The sequence below is a fragment of the Homo sapiens genome, chromosome 1, assembly GCF_000001405.40.
Source record: "Homo sapiens chromosome 1, GRCh38.p14 Primary Assembly".
NCBI lineage: Eukaryota > Metazoa > Chordata > Mammalia > Primates > Hominidae > Homo > Homo sapiens.
In genome coordinates, this window is record NC_000001.11 from 143,497,684 (window position 1) to 143,517,189 (window position 19,506).

General features: G+C 36.3%; 2 long non-coding RNA genes and 1 pseudogene across 4 annotated transcripts, besides 1 other annotated feature; 1 reads left to right on the forward strand and 2 right to left on the reverse strand.

The window, feature by feature from the left end:
• KMT2CP3 (lysine methyltransferase 2C pseudogene 3) overlaps nucleotides 1-1,084 on the reverse strand; it is a 37,547-nt pseudogene extending 36,463 nt beyond the window's left edge.
• Nucleotides 1,000-18,257, forward strand: LOC101927452 (uncharacterized). Of its 3 annotated transcripts, XR_426810.5 has the most exons (7): nucleotides 1,000-1,332; nucleotides 1,647-1,813; nucleotides 9,816-9,909; nucleotides 11,534-11,652; nucleotides 13,793-13,869; nucleotides 15,169-15,259; nucleotides 15,677-18,257. It is a non-coding gene; the product is annotated as an uncharacterized LOC101927452 (long non-coding RNA). The 3 variants fall into 3 exon arrangements; XR_002958627.2 differs by lacking the exon at nucleotides 1,000-1,332 and having other exon boundaries at nucleotides 1,654-1,813; nucleotides 15,172-15,259; XR_002958628.2 differs by lacking the exons at nucleotides 1,000-1,332; nucleotides 13,793-13,869 and having other exon boundaries at nucleotides 1,654-1,813; nucleotides 15,172-15,259.
• Nucleotides 1,199-1,492: a silencer, noted in NCBI's record as "tiled region #1883 duplicate 1; K562 Repressive non-DNase unmatched - State 22:ReprW". NCBI's record gives its function as "represses a minimal TATA promoter and a strong SV40 promoter by Sharpr-MPRA in K562 cells {active_cell/tissue: K562}" and the evidence as "EXISTENCE:reporter gene assay evidence [ECO:0000049][PMID:27701403]".
• Nucleotides 1,600-2,845, reverse strand: LINC02799 (long intergenic non-protein coding RNA 2799). The gene is made up of 3 exons (XR_002958629.2): nucleotides 2,688-2,845; nucleotides 1,789-1,865; nucleotides 1,600-1,692 (listed from the first exon to the last, which is right to left on the reverse strand). It is a non-coding gene; the product is annotated as a long intergenic non-protein coding RNA 2799 (long non-coding RNA).
• Nucleotides 18,258-19,506: the final 1,249 nt, after the last annotated feature.

A 19,506-nucleotide genomic window follows, 5' to 3' on the forward strand; every position in this document is an offset into this window, starting at 1 on the left:
CCCGGCTTTTTGACCCCTCGCCGTTGCGAGTTTTGTCGCCGCGGCTTTTTGCCCGCCCCCCGCCGCTGCGGCTTTTTGCCCCCCGCCGCCTTTTGCCCCCTCGCCGCCGCGGCTTTTTCCCGCCGTGGATTTTTCCCCCCTGCCCCCGCGACTTTTCACCCGCCGCAGCTTTTTGCCCCCACCCCGCCTCGGCTTTTTGCCCGCCGCGGCTTTTTGCCCCCCGCCGCCGCGGCTTTTTGCCCCCACCCCTCCTCGGCTTTTTGCCCGCCGCGGCTTTGTGCCCCCCTCACCGCCGCGGCTTTCTGCCACCCACCCGCCGCCGCAGCTTTTTGCCCCCACCCTGCCTCGGCTTTTTGCCCGCCGAGGCGTTTTGCCCCCCGCCGCTTTTCGCACCCCGCCGCCGCGGCTTTTTCCCCGCCGTGGCTTTTCCCCCCTGCCCCCGCGGCCTTTTACCCGCCGCAGCTTTTTGCCACCCGCCGCCGCGGCTTTTTGCCTCCACCCCGCCTCGGCTTCTTGCCCACCGCGGCTTTTTACCCCGCGCCGCCGCGGCTTTTTGCCCGCCGCGGATTTGTGCCCCCCTCGCCGCCGCGGCTTTTTGCCCGCCGCGGCTTTCTGCCACACACCCGCCGCCGCGGCTTTTTGCCCCACCGCCGACACAGCTTTTTGCACACTCGCCGCCTTGGCTTTTTGCCGCCGCGGCTTTCTGCCCCCTCGCTGCCACGGCTTTTTGCCCCTCCGCCACCGCCGCTGCTTTTTGCCCCACCGCCGCCGTGGCTTTTTGCCCACCGCGGCTTTTTGCCATCGCGGCTTTTTACTCGCCACGGCCTTTTACCCGCCGCGGCTTTTTGCGCCCCGCTGTCACGGCTTTTTGTCCCCCTGCCGCAGCGACTTTTTCGCCGCCGCGGCGTTTTGCCCCCGCCGCCGAGGATTTTTGTCCCCGCCGCCACGGCTCTGAGGGCGGGAGCGGCAGACTCGGCTGCCAGCTCTACTGGCGTCCTGGCAAGGGCAGCTCTGAGGGGTGCTCCTGGTCCAGCTCTCCTGGCTCAGGGATTCCTTGCCTAGGCGCCGGCGCCCCAGGCTCCTTGCCTAGGCCCCTGTGGCCTGCATAGAGTGGCGCTGCCTGTGGAGGCGATGGGAGAGAAGAAGGAGGGCGGTGGTGGGGGTGATGCGGCGGCCACGGAGGGTGGCACAGGGGCTGCGGCCAGCCGGGCGCTGCAGCAGTGCGGGCAGCTCCAGAAGCTCATCGTCATCTTCATTGGCAGCCTGTGCGGGCTGTGCACCAAGTGCGCTGTGTCCAACGACCTCACCCAGCAGGAGATACAGACCCTGGAGGTAAGGGGTTCGGGGACCCGGGCTGGGCTCCAGGAGCGGCCCGGACACCTCCTTCGGGGCCCCAGTTCACTCCTGGCCGAGTTGCATCTTTGAGCCCACGTCACCCCCTTGGAGGCTTCCCCTCCCTCCTGCACTCGCTGATGCGGCACCAGGGGACCCAGGACCAGCCCTCACCTTGGGCAGGATTTGTGGAGCGGGTGCGTGGTGGGAACTGGGATGGAGGCTCCAGGGTCCCGTGGGGGTGGGGGTGGGCTGCGTGAGGACATCCCCTTACCCCCTGAATTTCCATCTGGTCCAGCCCTCTCATCTTGTAGGTGAGGAAACCGAAGGCCTGAGGGAGAAATGACTTGCCAGGAACCCCTGTTAAGGAAAATTAACAAAGTGTGGTTATTAAAGAAGAACTGAGTTGGGAGTCAGACCTGGAGGCCCGCACCCGTGGTTAAGACATTATACCACCTTGAGTCTGGCCTGTTGACTGAGGGTGAGCCACTCCATCCTCATGTGATTGTGGGGTCTTAACCTCAAGGGGTTTCCTGCAGGAAGAAGCAAATGGGTTTGCTTTCCTAGCTCTGTCCAGTACGTTAGGGACCCTGAGGACTGAAGAGATTCTTGGAGAGCCATCTGGTGTATGTCATGGGTGGGTCTTTTTGGAAGGTCAGTCTGCCCAGTGGGCTGGCTCAGCCCAAATGAACTGTCTTGAATCTTTGGAGTTGTCTGTGTACTTTTAAGGGCTTCTCAGCCTTGCACCAAAAGATCCCCCTGGAAATTAGGTGGGAAAAACCTTAACTTTTGTGGGGCCTTGTGTTTGTCTTAAAAGTTCATGCACATAGCCAGGTGTGGTGGCTCCCACCTGTTATCCTTTCCTGGATCCCTTGAGTCAAGGAGTTTGAGACCAACCTGGACAATATAGTGAGACCCCATCTCTACAAAAAATAAAATATTAGCCAGGGGTGGTTGTGCGCATCTGTAGTCCCAGCTACTACTGTGGCTGAGGCGGGAGGAGCACTTGATCCTGCACTGAGCTCTGATCTCACCAGTGTACTCCAGCCTGGGCCACAGAGCAAGACCGTGACTCAAAAAAAAAAAAAAAAAAAGACAAGAAAAATTCTTCAAGATTTTGCATTCTGTCCCACTACCCATTGGTTTTCATGTCAAGATAATGTCAGAAATTCTTTACAATTGCTTCCAGAAGGAGTAGCCTTTTGATCTAGTGCACAGGTGTCCAGTCTTTTGGCTTCTCAGGGCCACATTGGAAGAAGAATGCTCCTGGGCCGCACATAAAATACACTAATGCTAAAACAGCTGATGGGGTTAAAAAAAAAAAAAGGTTTGTGCATAATTTTCATGCTACCCACCACCACAGATAGGTGGAAAAGTCCTTGTAGGCAAAGGGTTGGACACGGCTGATCTAGTGTCTTGTCGTCCGTTTTGGCTTTCTCCCTGATTCCAGAATGCAGGTAGAGATGTAGAGACATGCTCTCAGGACAGCTGTTGAGATAAAAAAAATTCGTTGTCATTTATTCCCAAGCACAGCTGTTTCTCATTGCATTGAAAAAGTCTCCATTCAAACTGCTGTCACATATAAAATCTATTTATGTAAGTCTGTATTTTTCTGTTGTCTTGGCCTTTGTAGGCAGTAGTGTGTTTTAACCGAGCAAACTGTCCTTCCAAATAATGAAGCCGAAGTCAGCCTACCTACTTGCCATTTTTCTTCCCCTTCCATTTTTGTAACCTCAGAATAATTGTAAGAATGAATTAAGATTTGTGTTTAAGGCCAGGCACAGTGTCTCAGGCCTGCAATCTCAGCACTTTGGGAGGCGGAGACGGTTGTATCGCTTGAGCTCAGGAGTTGAAGACCAGCCTGGGCAACATACTGAGACTCTGTCTTGTATAATTTAATTAAAATTGAAAAAAAGAAGAGAAAAAGACCTGTGTTTAAAATTTAAAAAAAGGGGGGGGAAAGTGTAATGCAAAATGTGGACTATGCCAGCTATGATTGGGAAAACTAGTTTTTCATACAGCATTATCTGTAGACTTGTATTAGCAGCATACTGGTCATAAGCGTTTTGCTTTCCTCAAATATGATGAGGCAAGCTAATTTAAAGTGTGTTGGGGCTTTCTGCCGCGTGGCTCCTGGAGGTGTTGAGTCCCAATTTAGCCAATTAATTTAGGTTTAGTTTTGACGTGGATAAGGGAGACCAGCTTCATTCATGGTGTACACACAGTTTTGCGAATAAGGAAAAAAAAAAGCCACCTGAATGTTCCTACTCATTAGATGCTATCTGGAGAGCTCCTACCCCACCCTCACCAAGGCCCGGGCCATTAAAAAGACTCAATGCAGCCTTTCTGTATCTCATACTGTATTCTGCAAGATACTCCTCTGAAAGAAAGTTGTGCTGCATCAGCCATCTCCCTCCTGAAGATCCCTGCGGATGAAGATTTGTGTTTTGAAAGTTCTGAGAATTCCTGCAACAACAATTCTCAAACTTATTTGTCCATGGGATCTTCTCTTCCACTGAATGTAGTTGGGGAGACACAGCCTTAAGCCTTGAGCAGAGAAAGAGACAAGAAACTGTCGGCTCACTTACAACCAAGTGTTGTGTTTATGTTTTAGGTTTTTATGAAACTGAGGTGCTGTTTGAGGTTTTAAATGAAATTGGGTGGTTGAGGAGAGGCTGCTATCCCTGTAGACTTAGCCAGCCATGAGAAGTTGCCTTTTGTTGAAGGAGGTGTTTTAGAAAGGGAAATAGGGTGTCTCCTGGGCATCGCATTAGCAATTAAATACATGTATCACTGAAATGAAATGATATGATGAAATGATGAAATGAAATGATGAAATGATGAAATGAAACGAAATGATGAAATGAAGAAATGAAATAATGAGCTGAAATGATGATGAAATGAAATGAAATGATGAAATGGAATGATGAAAAATGAAATGATGACATAAAATGGTGAAATGAAATGAAATGAAATAATGAAGTGAAATGAAATGAAATGATGAAATGATGAAATGAAATGAAAAGATGAAATGATGAATTGAGGAAATGTATGAAATGATGAAATGAAACGAAATGAAGTGAATGATGAAATGACGAAAAAATGAAATTAAATGATGAATTGATGAAATGAAATGATGAGATGAAAAGGTGAAAAGAAACGAAATGATTAAATGAAATGAGGAGACGAAAAGATGAAATGAAATGATGAGATGAAATGAAATGATGTGATGAAATGATGAGATGAAGTGAAATGATGAAATGAAATGATGAGATGAAATGAAATAATGCAATGAAAGATGATATGATGAGATGAAGTGAAATGATGAAATGATGAAATGTGATGAAATGGAATGATGAAATGAAATGATGAAATGAAATTGTGAAATGAAATGAGGAAATGAAATGGAATGATGAAATGAAATGAAAAGATCAAACGGTGAAGTGAAGAAATGATATGAAATGATGAAATGAAATGAAATGAGGAAATGAAGTTAAATGATTAAATGATGAAATAATGAAATGAAATGAAATGATGAAATGATGAATTGATGAAATGATCAAATGAAATGACGAGATGAAAAGATGAAATGAAATGATGAAATGTAATGACGAGATGAAAAGATGAAATGAGATGAAATGATGAGATGAAATGAAATCATGAGATGATGAAATGATGAGATGAAGTGAAATGATGAAATGATGAGATGAAATGAAATGATGAAATGAAATGAAATGTTGAGATGAAATGATGAAATGAAATGAAAGAATGAAATGAAATGATGAAATGAGATGAAATGAAATCATGAGATGAAATGATGAAATGATGAGATGAAGTGAAATGATGAAATGATGAAATGTAATGAAATGATGAAATGGAATGATGAAATGAAATGATGAAATGAAATGGTGAAATGAGGAAATGAAATGAAATGATGAAATGAAGTGAAATGATGAAATGATGAAATGAAATGAGAAGATCAAATGGTGAAATGAAGAAATGATATGAAATGATGAAATGAAATGAAGTGATGAAATGAAGTTGAATGATTAAATGATGAAATAATGAAATGAAATGATGAAATGATGAATTGATGAAATGATCAAATGAAATGAGATGAAAAGATGAGATGAAATGAAATGATGAAATGAAATGACGAGATGAAAAGATGAAATGAGATGAAATGAGATGAAATGAAATCGTGAGATGATGAAATGATGAGATGAAGTGAAATGATGAAATGATGAAATGTGATGAAATGGAATGATGAAATGAAATGATGAAATGAAATTGTGAAATGAAATGAGGAAATGAAATGGAATGATGAAATGAAATGAAAAGATCAAATGGTGAAGTGAAGAAATGATATGAAATGATGAAATGAAATGAAATGAGGAAATGAAGTTAAATGATTAAATGATGAAATAATGAAATGAAATGAAATGATGAAATGATGAATTGATGAAATGATCAAATGAAATGACGAGATGAAAAGATGAAATGAAATGATGAAATGTAATGACGAGATGAAAAGATGAAATGAGATGAAATGATGAGATGAAATGAAATCATGAGATGATGAAATGATGAGATGAAGTGAAATGATGAAATGAAATGAAATGTTGAGATGAAATGATGAAATGAAATGAAAGAATGAAGTGAAATGATGAAATGAGATGAAATGAAATCATGAGATGAAATGATGAAATGATGAGATGAAGTGAAATGATGAAATGATGAAATGTAATGAAATGATGAAATGGAATGATGAAATGAAATGAGGAAATGAAATGGTGAAATGAAATGAGGAAATGAAATGATGAAATGAAATGAAGTGAAATGATGAAATGATGAAATGAAATGAGAAGATCAAATGGTGAAATGAAGAAATGATATGAAATGATGAAATGAAATGAAGTGATGAAATGAAGTTAAATGATTAAATGATGAAATAATGAAATGAAATGATGAAATGATGAATTGATGAAATGATCAAATGAAATGAGATGAAAAGATGAGATGAAATGAAATGATGAAATGAAATGACGAGATGAAAAGATGAAACGAGATGAAATGAGATGAAATCGTGAGATGATGAAATGATGAGATGAAGTGAAATGATGAAATGATGGAATGACAAAATGCAACAATGAGAAGAAATTATGAAATGAAATAATGAAATGAAAGGATGAAATGATGAGATGAAATGATGAAAGGATGAAATGAAATGATGAGGAAATGAAAAGATGAAATGAAATGAATAAGTGAAATGATGAAATGATTGAATGAAAACATGAAATGATGAAATGATATGAAATGATGACATGAAGTCAAATGATGCAATGATGAAATAAATGAAATGAAATGATGAAATGAAATGAGATGAAATGATGAAATGATGAGATGAAAAGATGAAATGAAATGATGAGATGAAATGAAATGAGATGAAATGAAATGAGATGAAATGAAATCATGAGATGAAAAGATGAAATGAGATTAAGTGAAATGACGAAATGAAATGTCGAGATGAAGTGATGAAATGAAATGAAATGAAACAATGAAATGAAGTGAAATGAAATGAGATGAAATGATGAGATGAAATGATGAATTGATGAAATGAAATGAGATGAAAAGATGAAATGAAATGATGAAATGATGAGATGAAAAGATAAAATGATGAGATGAAATGAAATGATGAGATGAAATGAAATGGTGAGATGAAATGAAATGATGAGATGAAATGATGAGATGAAGTGAAATGATGAAATGAAATGTTGAGATGAAATGATGAAATGAAATGAAAGAATGAAATGAAATGATAAAATGAGATGAAATGATAAGATGAAATGATGAAATGGAAGGATGAAATGAAATGATGAAATGAGGAAATGAGATGAAATGATGAAATGATGAAATGAAAGGATGAAATGAGGAAATGAGATGAAATGATGAAATGATGAAATGAAAGGATGAAATGAGGAAATGAAATGAAATGATGAAAAGAAATGAAATAATGAAATGAAATGATGTAATAGATGAACCAAAAATTCTTATTCACTTTTTTTCTGGGCATCTTCCTAAGAGTATTTTAGTGAGGTTAATTTCTAAATATAAATTGCTATTCAATGGCTATACAGTTGGCCTTTGCACCACAGGGGTTTGAACTGTGCACGTCCACTTAGCAAAACCAACAATTCTACATCCTTATCCACATCCTGCCCATGAGAAAGATGAGGATGAAGACCTGTTTGATCATCTACTTCCATTTAATAACTAGTAAATCTATTTTCCTTATGATTTTCTTTTTTCTTTTCTCTGGCATGTTTGTTAAGAATACAGTATATAAGACATATAACATATTAAATATGTGTTAATTGACTGTGTTATTTGTCAGGCTTACAGTAGGCTATTAGTAGTTAAGTTTTGGGGGAGTCAAAGTTATAGTGTATTTTCTACCGTGCAGGGGGTCCAGCACCCCAACCTCCGTGTTGCTTAAGGGTCAACCGTACGTGTTATTTCCTTTCCTGTAAGAGAAAAATGATGAGAAGGTCTTTTCTCCAATAAGTGTCTTCAAAATGTAGCAGATTTGAAATGTGTTGGCGCCACCATTTTGCGTCTCACTTTGAAAACTTATTATTTAAAATCGTACTAAAGCCTACCTTACTTTTCCAACCTTAGAAAAAATGTTCCAAAGAAAAGGGGCGAAACCATGCTAGTTTGCCCTGAAATTTGAAATTACCTTTTAAAAATATATTTTGACATTAATTACTTCCAAACTAGAGATCAGTTGCATACAAATGGCAGGTCACCCTAATCCACCCTATGACTGCACTTAGATTTATGAGGGATTGTGCCATCTAGAAAGGGCAGAGAGGAGGAATAGAGTGCTCTGCGTCTTGAAATATAAACATGCACATAGCCACATGCTTTGATTCTGTTGTCACTGTGTACTTACTGCTAGGAAGAGGGCATGTTTGTGTATTTTTATGCTAATTATTATCCAAGTTGTTAATGATTTACGCTTTCAGAACCATATAAAGATTTTTTTCCTTTCAGATATAAACTATCTTGCATTGTTCTTCTGATCATATGAGGGATAAATTTGCCTAAATATTCTTCAGACCATAATAGTATGTCCATATAAATGCCAGTAGCAAGAGTAGAATCAACCACAACTGCCTTAGTAATTATTTAAAGCATGTCTGCCTATAAGTAATTGGCATTTTATATAATCAAGAATCTTTGATATAATAATCTCTCAACTATTTGAAACACGGCTCACATGTATTAATTTTTTAAGCAAATATATATATAATATCAGTGTATATGAAACTGAATTTTGGACTTTAGAACAGCTTCTTAGAATCCTGACTTAAATGTCTACAGTAATAGTTGGCTTAAAAAAATTTAGCACACTGTCACTATGATGAAAAAAATTACTATAAAATATTTAAAAATTTTTTCCACCCTAACATTTAGAATATTCTCACATTTGTGGTTAAAACCTATTGTGATTGTTCTTAGAATTTAGATAAAAAATGTCCCAGAAAGATTGAAGAGAAGCACTTTAGTCAATTTTTAGTTGTTGAAGCATGAAGAAATGGCATTTCATTGACATTTTAAAAATTATTCAGATTCCCTCTTTGAATTCAAGAATTTCAAAGATATCTTATTTTAAAATACCAAAATAGGAATAGAATATGAAGGGCTGGTTATGAGTAATATGATACAATTTTATGAGATGATGAGATTACAATAACAATACCTCCTCTCATAGAATAGCCAGCAAGTCTCCACTAAATAACAGTGCCTTGATTTTATAGATGTTTCATCATGGATATTGAGTTAATGTGAACCATTTGTAGACACAGGAGTTTATTAAAGACTTATATAATATCTTTCAAGTATTTAGAATAGTGTTGAAATTAAGCCTGCATCCCCACGATTTTCAGCGGTGCTGATGCCTAATAAACTCAACCCCTTGCATGCCAAAATTGGCTTAAAGCCCATCTGTTACCCAAGCTACACTTCAAGCATCGAGGTTCAAAAATGTGATTTTGAATATGCAAGAGTTTGAGGAATTCACTACTCACACTTTCTTGAACAGTCTATCCAAGTGCATCAAGCAAAATGTGAGTAAAGAAATTTTGAGCAAAGGATTGATAGTAATGTTGAATACATTTAATAGTAGATCAAAGATTAAAAGGTGAAAGTGAGGGTGAGAAGAGTGTATGAATGCTTTGTGTTCTGACAAAGAGAATGTAGCACCCAGGTCCTACCTGCTTGGATGCATTGCCAGTGCCCACGGTAGGCCATTTTATCCAGGTTTTTAGGTATTGTCTTATTTTGTTTGTTTTTTTTCTTTTCAGGAGTCTTAGTCCAAGACCAATAACTCCGTAACTGGTAGATTTGGAAGACTTTAATAGTGCTTAACATTTTGTACATAGCTTTATAACAGTTTTCTTTTTCTTTTTTTCTGAGAGATTCTTTTCAATATACCCCATCATGGTTGAACTCAAAAATCATTGCTTATTTAAAATCTACAACTGCTGACGTTTTGTAACGTTCGCATTCCAGGTAATTGCTTTTTTGTGCATTTTCTGTATTTTTCTCCATCAGTCTACCTAGATATTTGTTAGATTTAATATTTTAATATTTTTCTGAAAAAGTGAGCTTTTGCATTTTTAAATATATACCCAGTTGCTTTAATTCTGCTTTTTCGTGTACTATTTCCTCGTTTTTTTCTATCTTGTTTTTTGTTTTTTTTTTTTCTGACACGGAGTCTTGCTCTGTCGCCCAAGCTGGAGTGCAGTCGCGTGATCTCTACTCACTGCAACTTCCACCCCCCACGTTCAAGCAATTCTCCCACCTCAGCCTCCCGAGTAGCTGGGGTTACAGATGCATGCCACCATGCCAGGCTAATTTTTGTATATTTAGTAGAGAGTGGGTTTCACCATGTTAGACCAGGCTGGTCTCGAACTCCTGACCTCAGGTGACCCACCTGCCTCGGCCTCCCAAAGTGCTGGGATTACAGGCGTGAACAATGGCGCCTGGCTATCTCCTTCATTCTTTAGGTTTATTTTACTGCTTTTATCTCTCTCTCTCTCACTGTTTCTCTCCTTCTCACATTCACTTTGCAGTTGTCAAATAGCCCAGGTGATGTTACAGATTTACTCCTTATAAAAGGAGGCATTACACATTACACATGCATCTTAGTGGCCTCACAAAAGTGTTTGGTTTATTTGTAGTGACTATTCACCTTTAAAATATTTCAATATTCAATAAAATGGCTTCCAACCAATATTATTACACTTATGTTTCTAACTTTCGTTTTTGTATTGATATCTGCCTTCATTGCTGTTTGTTTAGGACATATATTCTGTGTCACGTTATTTCCGTGAAAATTGTTTGAATTTGTGGTATGGTCTAGAAAATGTTAATTTTTGTAAGTATTCTGTATGAACATGAAAATAACATGAATTATAATATTCAAGTTCCTTATATAATATTTGCCCGTTTTAAAATCCACTAGCTTCTTTTAAAACTTACTCTTTTAATTTTTTCTTTTATCTATTACTGAAAGACGTGTGTTTGAAATGTCTATAATATTTGGGGGCTTATCCATTTCTACTTACTTTCTGATATTTTTGCTTTATATAATTTGACTCTCTCTAAATACGTGTGTGTCTGTGTGTGTGAGAGAGAGTGTGTGGTTTGTGTGTATATATATATGTATGTATCAGGCTAATACACATTGAAGTCATCACATTTTAATAACTTAAAACTTTTATCACACTGTTTACACTAACTTATTTTAATAAATGTTTCTAACTTACATTCTATTTGGTCTACATAGCAACTTTTTAAAAAATGTAGTGTGTTTGTATGTATATCATATATACACAGTATCTGTATTGTTTGAACTTCAAAGTTTCTGTAAATTTATATATTAGCTGTGTCTCTTGTAACTATGATAGAGATGGATGTTTTAAATTTTGCCAATCTTTGTATTTTAACAAAAACATTGTCTACTTAGGTTTAAGTTAATCTTTGATCATTTATACTTAATTTTGTATTAGTAATTTGTTGTGTGTATATATATATATATATATATATATATATATAAAATGTCTCATTTTCTCCTATCACTTTCTGTCTTCTTGTTTTAAAATTATGACTTTTATTTTTATTGTTTTCATAGATACAACAGAGAAATGCATAATGTCCAGTCAATTTATTAAAGTTCCAAAGTCGGTCGCGCGCAGTGGCTCACGCCTGTAATCTCAACACTTCGGGAGGCCGAGGCGTGTGGATCACGAGGTCAGGAGTTGGAGACTAGCCTGATCAACATGGTGAAACCCCGTCTCTACTAAAAATACAAAAATTAGCCAGGCAGGGTGGCACGCGGCTGTAATCCCCGCTACTCAGGAGGCTGAGGCAGGAGAATTGCTTGAACCTGGGAGGCAGAGGTTGCAGTGAGCGGAGATGACGCCACCATACTCCAGCCTGGGAGAAAGGGTGAATGAGACTCCTTCTCAAAAAAAAAAAAAAAAAAAAAAAAAAAAGAATTGCAAAGTCATACCTTTCTGCTCTTGTCAGACAATTAAGGGGTCTTTGAATACTTCAGCCCTAATAATTTGCTTCCTAACATACATATTGCAGTGCTTACCTAATTTTAAATATTCTTTTGTTTCAACACCTAATTTTCTATTTTGATCTATCTTTATGTTTACAATATATTTTGCTCTGTGTTCATTCTTTGATTTCAGAACTTCAATCTTTCTGAAGCGTGTTTTCAGAGTTTCCTTTGAGTTTCTTTAGTGGAATTCTGCTGGTGGTGTTTTGTTTTTTGTCTCTAAATATGTGATTTAGCCATAGGTTGATGAATATTTTTCTTGGTTGAGAATTTCAGAATGGCATTATTATTCTTAACAAATAATATTGTTTATTTTACCTTTCATGCTTTCAGATTTCAATATGATTAAAGGTAATTTGATTTTTCTAGTGCTAATTGAAATATTTTTCCCTTCCTGATTGTTTACTATTTCTCTAGGAGATATGTAGATGTAGGTTTATCTCCATCGTAGCTTGCTTAGCATGCATAGAAGTTTTGAATATGTGGATTAGTGTCTTACAGAACTCTAGAGAACTTTCAGCCAAAATACCATCACATATTGTCCCTTCCCCGTTCCCTTCCTCTATGAGAACACTCACTAAACACATGCTACACTTTCTCACTGTATCTTCCATGTCTCTTCATGATTCTGTCCACATTGTGCCTTTTTTTAAATTTTCTGTAATGCATTCTGAAATATTTATGAGCTCTCACCATGGCCATGTCTAATCTGATGAGTTCATTTTTGAGTTTTTAATTTAAAATACTATATACAAACTACTTTTCAAATTTACTACATCAACTTTTTAGTCTCCTAAAAATATATTCCTTTTTTTAAATTTTTTGAAAGCAAATGTGCTTTATAATCTAACAGTGATATTTCTACTAATGAACCTCTGTGGATCTGTTTGTACTCTTTTTCTGCTTTCCTTTCAAATGGTGGAATATCATTTCCTTGCGTACTTAGATGCCTTTGAATGACAAAGATTTATTTTTCTCTGAAAATTATTATTGTGCACTTTTGCATATTAGTAAGAAGAAAATTTGCCAAAGAGAATTTGAATTTTTTGTGAGTCTACTAAAGGCACCACCATTCTGGGACCACATTATATTAATTCTTGGCCTAAAGGTGTTTGGACGTATGTTTGGACAGCACATTTAAACAATTTTTAAATTAATTGCTGTAAATCATTAATGATTGAGTTTCTTTAAATCTGTCCAATCTCAAGTCATTTTTATTTGCCATTTCCAGGGAATGTGAAATGAGACTAATTTACCTCTGATTCTTCTTTATACTGAGGAGATAAATTTTGGTGCTAGCTTTAGGGAAGAGCTCCTGTGTGATGCCCTATCTTGGGAAACACTATGTATTTCTTTACTGTCCTATGTGATGTATGACCATAGGAATCTGCACTCATTCATTTTGCTACATGTCCGTAGGGCAAAATCAGTATCAGTGTTTAGGTGTATTTTGTCTGCTCCCTGCATTCCCATGGTTTTAACCTTATCTTTTACTTTTTTTTGTGAACATACCAATGCTTCAATTTTTTTCCAGTAATATAATCAACTATACTATAAGAGAAAAATTTCGATAAAACACAAATTTCATGTTTTCCTACTCTAATTGGCTTTTACGTAAAAAATACAGGTAAAATTTATTTGTGCTTTTTTGCTATTTCTGTTTTGCTATTTTCTGTTTGTCTATGTCTTCACCACATAGACACAATTAGGGAATTTTGTACACTCTTGTGCCAACTGCTTTGACAGTAACAAAATGTATTTCTCGAACTCCTAGGTATAAAACTCAAGTATCCACTATTTAAATTCTTTTTTGCTCACTTCTAGTATGTTTCCAGTCTCAATAGAAATCGATGCCAATCCAGAAATACAAGCATTATTCTAATACTTCTCACACATTACTGGTATGGATGACATTTTCTAGATCTCCTTAAATACTATCATTTTTCACTACTTGTATCTTAACTGTTAAGTTCAACATTTTCTGTAATATTAATATATTGTGAAAATTTCCTTTCTTTCTTATTTGTCCCAGGTTCAATGTTTTGCAGTCTCTACCTCACCCTGTGAAGCATAAACATTGTACATGCTGTACAAATAATACATCGTTCATGTACTTAGAGATTGCACAATTTTTATTTGGTTGACAATAGCTAATGTTTTCTTCTTCATTTTCTATTTCCTGATTTTTCTTTATTTAGTATATACTACACTGCCATAAAAATAAGAACGTTTTACAAACTAAAGCAAAAGGAACCCTAGGAATAAAATGCACAAATAAAATATATAAACATACGTTTAGGTGTACCACGTACACTTGTAATTTATTTAGACTTTTAATTTTAGTACAATTTTAATTAAAGTCTGTGTATTATCTGTCATCGTCTTAGTATTTTTTATATAACAAATTGTGTAAATCAAAAAGTATCAATGTCATTGTAAACTATCTTGGCAGAGGTTGATCTCCAAGGAATAATTTCTCTCCTAAATTATGCCAATCCAAATTTCACTCTACCGTCATTCTTTTCATCAGTTTCAGAGGAATAATAAATTTCAAAATTGTTCAAGGTACTTCTTTTAGTTCAAGTAACATTTGACAGGTGTAAAACTGTAGACAGACTGATACAAACGTATTCTAATTGACTCAAAATTATATGGGACCTATTTTAAAATCTAGATTTTAAAATGTCGTGTCAACATACACATGTTCTCCTTGTGAAATAATTGTTTTTTATTCTCTGGATAGAATAATTTAATCTTTAAACCTTCCATTCACTCTTAGAAACAATATATTACATAAGGATATGCTTATAAAAATAATTCCCAACTAGCTTTTCAGTTCAGAAATATATGTGAAGAATCATCAAACATCTAATGGATTTCAAGGAGAAATGGGTTAGTAATTTATTCCATATGTCTCAATTTTTCCTAGACTCAAGGCTTCCTTTAAAATAATTGTAGGCATTTAAGAAACCATGCAAACTAAAAAGAAGAAACTGTGACGCTGCCGCTTAGGCTTTTTAAGTCTTTGGACATGATTCAATATATTTTTTAAATTGTATCTTAATTAGACATTGTGAGTTCACCATCTTCCTGTCAATACAGCATCCAAGCTGATTATCATAGATTACAAGTTCAACTATCAACTGTGTTCTGAGAGTCTAAAAAAATAAATGAACGTATTTGTTTGGGTATTCTTAAAGCAGGAGTGAGGACACAGCGAAAGTGAGACAAGGAAAAGAGAACAAAATAAAACAGGAAAGACAGAAAAGCCAATACCACACGTGTTAAGAGGTAAGTTCCTGTGTTAGATATCTGGGCTTAATATTATGGGAAGCTATGTGGAGCATGCCTCAGAATTACATCACTGAATCCAGGGAGATTCTTCTTAGTTACCCTCACCTTTTCTTCCCACTTCATGCCCAGTAACAAGCTCCCGTGCTGCTAGAGAAAGTCCTCAGCTAGAAACTGGTGCAAATTCTGGAGATGAGACCTTGTAGAGTGTTAAGAATGGTTTTCTTCCCAGCAGCTACAGCTAAGGAATAGGGGCTGGGCTATGAATACATCTGCTACAAACCAATAAAGCCCTTATGCTCCTTTTGGTGATCGACAATGTATTTAAAAATATTAGATGATCAAGAAGGGCTGCAGAAAGGAGGAAACAGAAACAAACAGCACACCTCTTGGTTTATTTTTTTTTCATTTCATCAGTTTCAAGGAAAATATGTTTGGAGTTCCTGGCATAGAGAATGTCACAAAGACATGTTTTCAATAGTAGTGCTATCCCGAGCGCAGAGAAGACCCAAAGAAAGCCCAAGTGGCTGCTGGAACAAAATCAGACACCGTGCCACCTGTCCACACTCCTTGGCTCTGCCATCATGCTGAAGATCGCTTTAAAGGACTGGCTTCCCTCCCCCCAAAATTAAAAGAGCACAGACTGAGAAACTGAATGTGGGAGACAGCAGTGGATTATGCTGTTCTCAGGGGTCACCTCAGGTTTGGAAGCATTCTTTCAAATTAACCCATCTCAGGCCATCTGCAGAGAAGAAAGGTGGTACCTAACTTTTTTTCTTGTCGGCATTTGGTAGGGGTGTTTTATTGACCAAATATGTTCCCACAACCTCGTTTTTTGTGACTAACTAAATATAGTAGAGTTTTAAATTTTATCATCAAAATCTATAGACAATTTTTGATGAAAATAGACTCCATCTCTATGTCCTGCTTTTCTTCTTCTTATTAATTACATTGCTGTATAAAAGAACAAGACTTCAGCATCAAGAATATCTTGTCTCTTGGCATTGAATTTATACAAGGTGCTCTTTCTTTAATGCTGTCTCAAAGGACATATTTTTACTCATTAAAAAGGAAGATCGGAATCTAGTTGTATGCACTGCTCCAACATATTAATAATTAAAATTAGGAGGTAAATGTGGTCAAAGCTATAGAAAGACTGAGATGTCATTTACATCGATTACTCTATAGCACTCTACAAACAGAAATTGTTAAATAATAGTTTATATAAATATTTTGTAGCATTTCAAATATTTGAGTGCTTGAAGTTTCTCCTCTTTTATAGTTCAGATTATCAATTTGAAGACTTACTCCGCTAGTTAATATGTTTTTAGTCTCGTTTGAGTATTATATAAAAGCAATTTTCAGTTAAATGTGTTCCGCTTACATAAAACGTTACAAATTATTGAGGATTTAATTACTTATTCATGTTCCTGTAATGTCTTTAGAAGATTTTCTTATTATTACCTATCAATATATGTATGCTTTGTCAAAGAAAAATCAAACATATATATCATTGAAATTGAAACTTTTTAAAAGTACTTATTAATTCTATTGAAAAACCACATCCATAGGAACAATTACAATATAATATTGTGAACATGTAAACATATACCCTATGTCTATTTTATGTATAAGCATGTATGATTAAAAATATAGTGAAGAATTTTTAAACCTAGTATTATAAAGTAAAAATTAGTTAACTTCCGATGATTATTTGTTAATTAAGATAAAATTATTTTGATTTGGGTGATTTTAAATAAAGAAAAATATTAAATTACATGACAAAAATTCTTTATAAAATGTTTATGATTTTTACATTGGTTTTATCACTTTTCCCACTATTTTATTTTAAGATGACCTGCCTTGTTTAAAACACTGTATTCATCTTAGTTAAATTAGATTCCATTTGTAAAATAATTAACAAATGATTTGCTCTATTGTACAGTGCGGTTATAAACTGAGTCAGTATCTCAAGATTTGATCCCCATTATCATCATCTGTGGCCCTATTTGTTTTATAAATGTATTGTCTTTTTCCATGCCTGTCACATCTCTATTGCTCTTTCATTTTTCTCTTTGTCCCTTATAGGGAGCATTGCCTATCTCTAGATTAAGCAAAAGTTGCATCATAAAAAAGCACAATAACCTGCTCAATCTTTCTCACACAGAGAAATGTTTGTTAAGTAATTAAAGTGTAGATGATGATACAAAGAGCTTGATTAAATTAGATGCCAAAGTACCCTTGTGATTCAGAATATGAATGGTATTTAATTTCTTTGAAATCATTAATTGCTGAGTGAGATTAATTAATGCCAATATTCCAGAAGATGTTCCAGTCAGTAAAATGTATACAACGTGCAAAAGATTCAGAACTCTGAAGGGCAACATTATTCTATAATTAAGAATTAAGAATTAATTCACATTAATTACTGGGGAGAAATACTTTTTAAGAATTAATGACTGAGAAAATGTTTTTATTTTTTATTTAGAAAATTATTTTGTGCATGAGCATTACCGCAAGTTTTGCAAGAAACATAAATTTAAAGAAACAATTATGTGCACAAGATGAATTTAATAACATCTTGATATATTCCACGATTGCGGTTTTATTTGGTAAATCTTTCAAGGCACACCATTTAAAGAGAATAAATGAGTCTTGGAAATCTTGTAGGTAAGGGTAAATATTAGGATGCATCCAGTTACATTTACACACACATACAGTTACATTTACACACACATACACGCATACAGACTGAGTCACGTGTGTGTATATATATATATGAATTTACCAATTGATGTTAACTAATATTTATAAGAGCCAGTTGGATTGATATATATTGTTGAACCTGAAAAATATTTATTATATACATGTTTAAAATACAGAAATAAATAGCAATTGCACTAGGCATTTGAAACTGTACTAAAATATAAGCTGTGAACATTTTGTGATCATTACAAATTCTTACACTGAATAAATATTTTTATTTTTACAATATTAATATGTTTGATACCTGTGTATATTTTTTTACAATGTGTTATTTTATTTTTGTCATAGAGTCATGTCATGCATAATAACATTTTAGTCAAAGATGGATTACATATACAAAAGTGGTCCCATGAGATTATAATAGATATTTTTACATACTTTTCTACGTTTAATTATGTTTAGATACATAACCTCTTACCACTGTGTTCTTATTGCCTGCAGTATTCAGTACAGTAATGTAGTACACAGATTTGTAGCCTGGGAGAAAGAGGCTATACCATATAACCTAAACGTGGTAGGCTGTACAATCTAGGTGTTTGTAATACTCTCTGTGATGTTTGCAAAATGGTAAAATTGCCTACGAATACATCTGTTAAAACGTATCCCTATCATTCAGTGATGTGTGACTGTACTAAAATGCTCAATGTAAGTTTCAATGCCCTCCATAAAATTGTTGTACTGTGAAATACAAATCTCTCACCCATGGCCTGAATATGTTTGCAAACTAAGCAGATCATGGGAAGGAGAATGTGCTGGCACCGCTGGGATGATTTTCTCACTCTACATGAATAATATCTACAGACTTCGTGAATATGAGCCACTTGCATAGAGTTAAAGTAGGCATCTCTTTGCTGGGAAAATTATCAAATGGGAGTATGAAGTGTTTTTACAAGATACTCGTTTGTTTGTAGCTGGTAGGCCTACAGTGGCTCATGGTAATGGTTGAGGTTGCTAAGATTTGGTGGAAGAAGGCAAAATGAAATGGCCACTTATATGGTATATGGTATATGGATCACTTATTTCTGTTGAGTTACAAACTCAGCTGGCTATTTCTCCTATGTTAGTTATTTGGAGAAAAAAAAACGTGATGGTAATTTTGGGGTAACAAATACAATATTTGATGAAAGCAAATTTATTGAGGGTTAGACAAACTACAAGATACTTTAGGCTACAAAGTCAACACGAGAGTTCTGGCCCAAATTGTGCAGAGTTTGCGTCCAGCTGCACAGTTCAAAGGAAGAGGCCATGTAAGAAGATTCTCACTTCTGACACCAACTGCCAGTTCAGGGGTTTCCCCTGAACACCCTCAGTTTCAAGAATTTACTAGAAAGACTCACAGAACTCATTGAATGCCATTGTACTCATGGTTTATAATAGAGAAAGGGTAGAAATTAGGACCAATAGAAGAGACATATCATATAAGGTGGAATCTAGGAGATTTTGAAGGTTAAGTTTCCATTGTCTTCAGGACATATTACCTG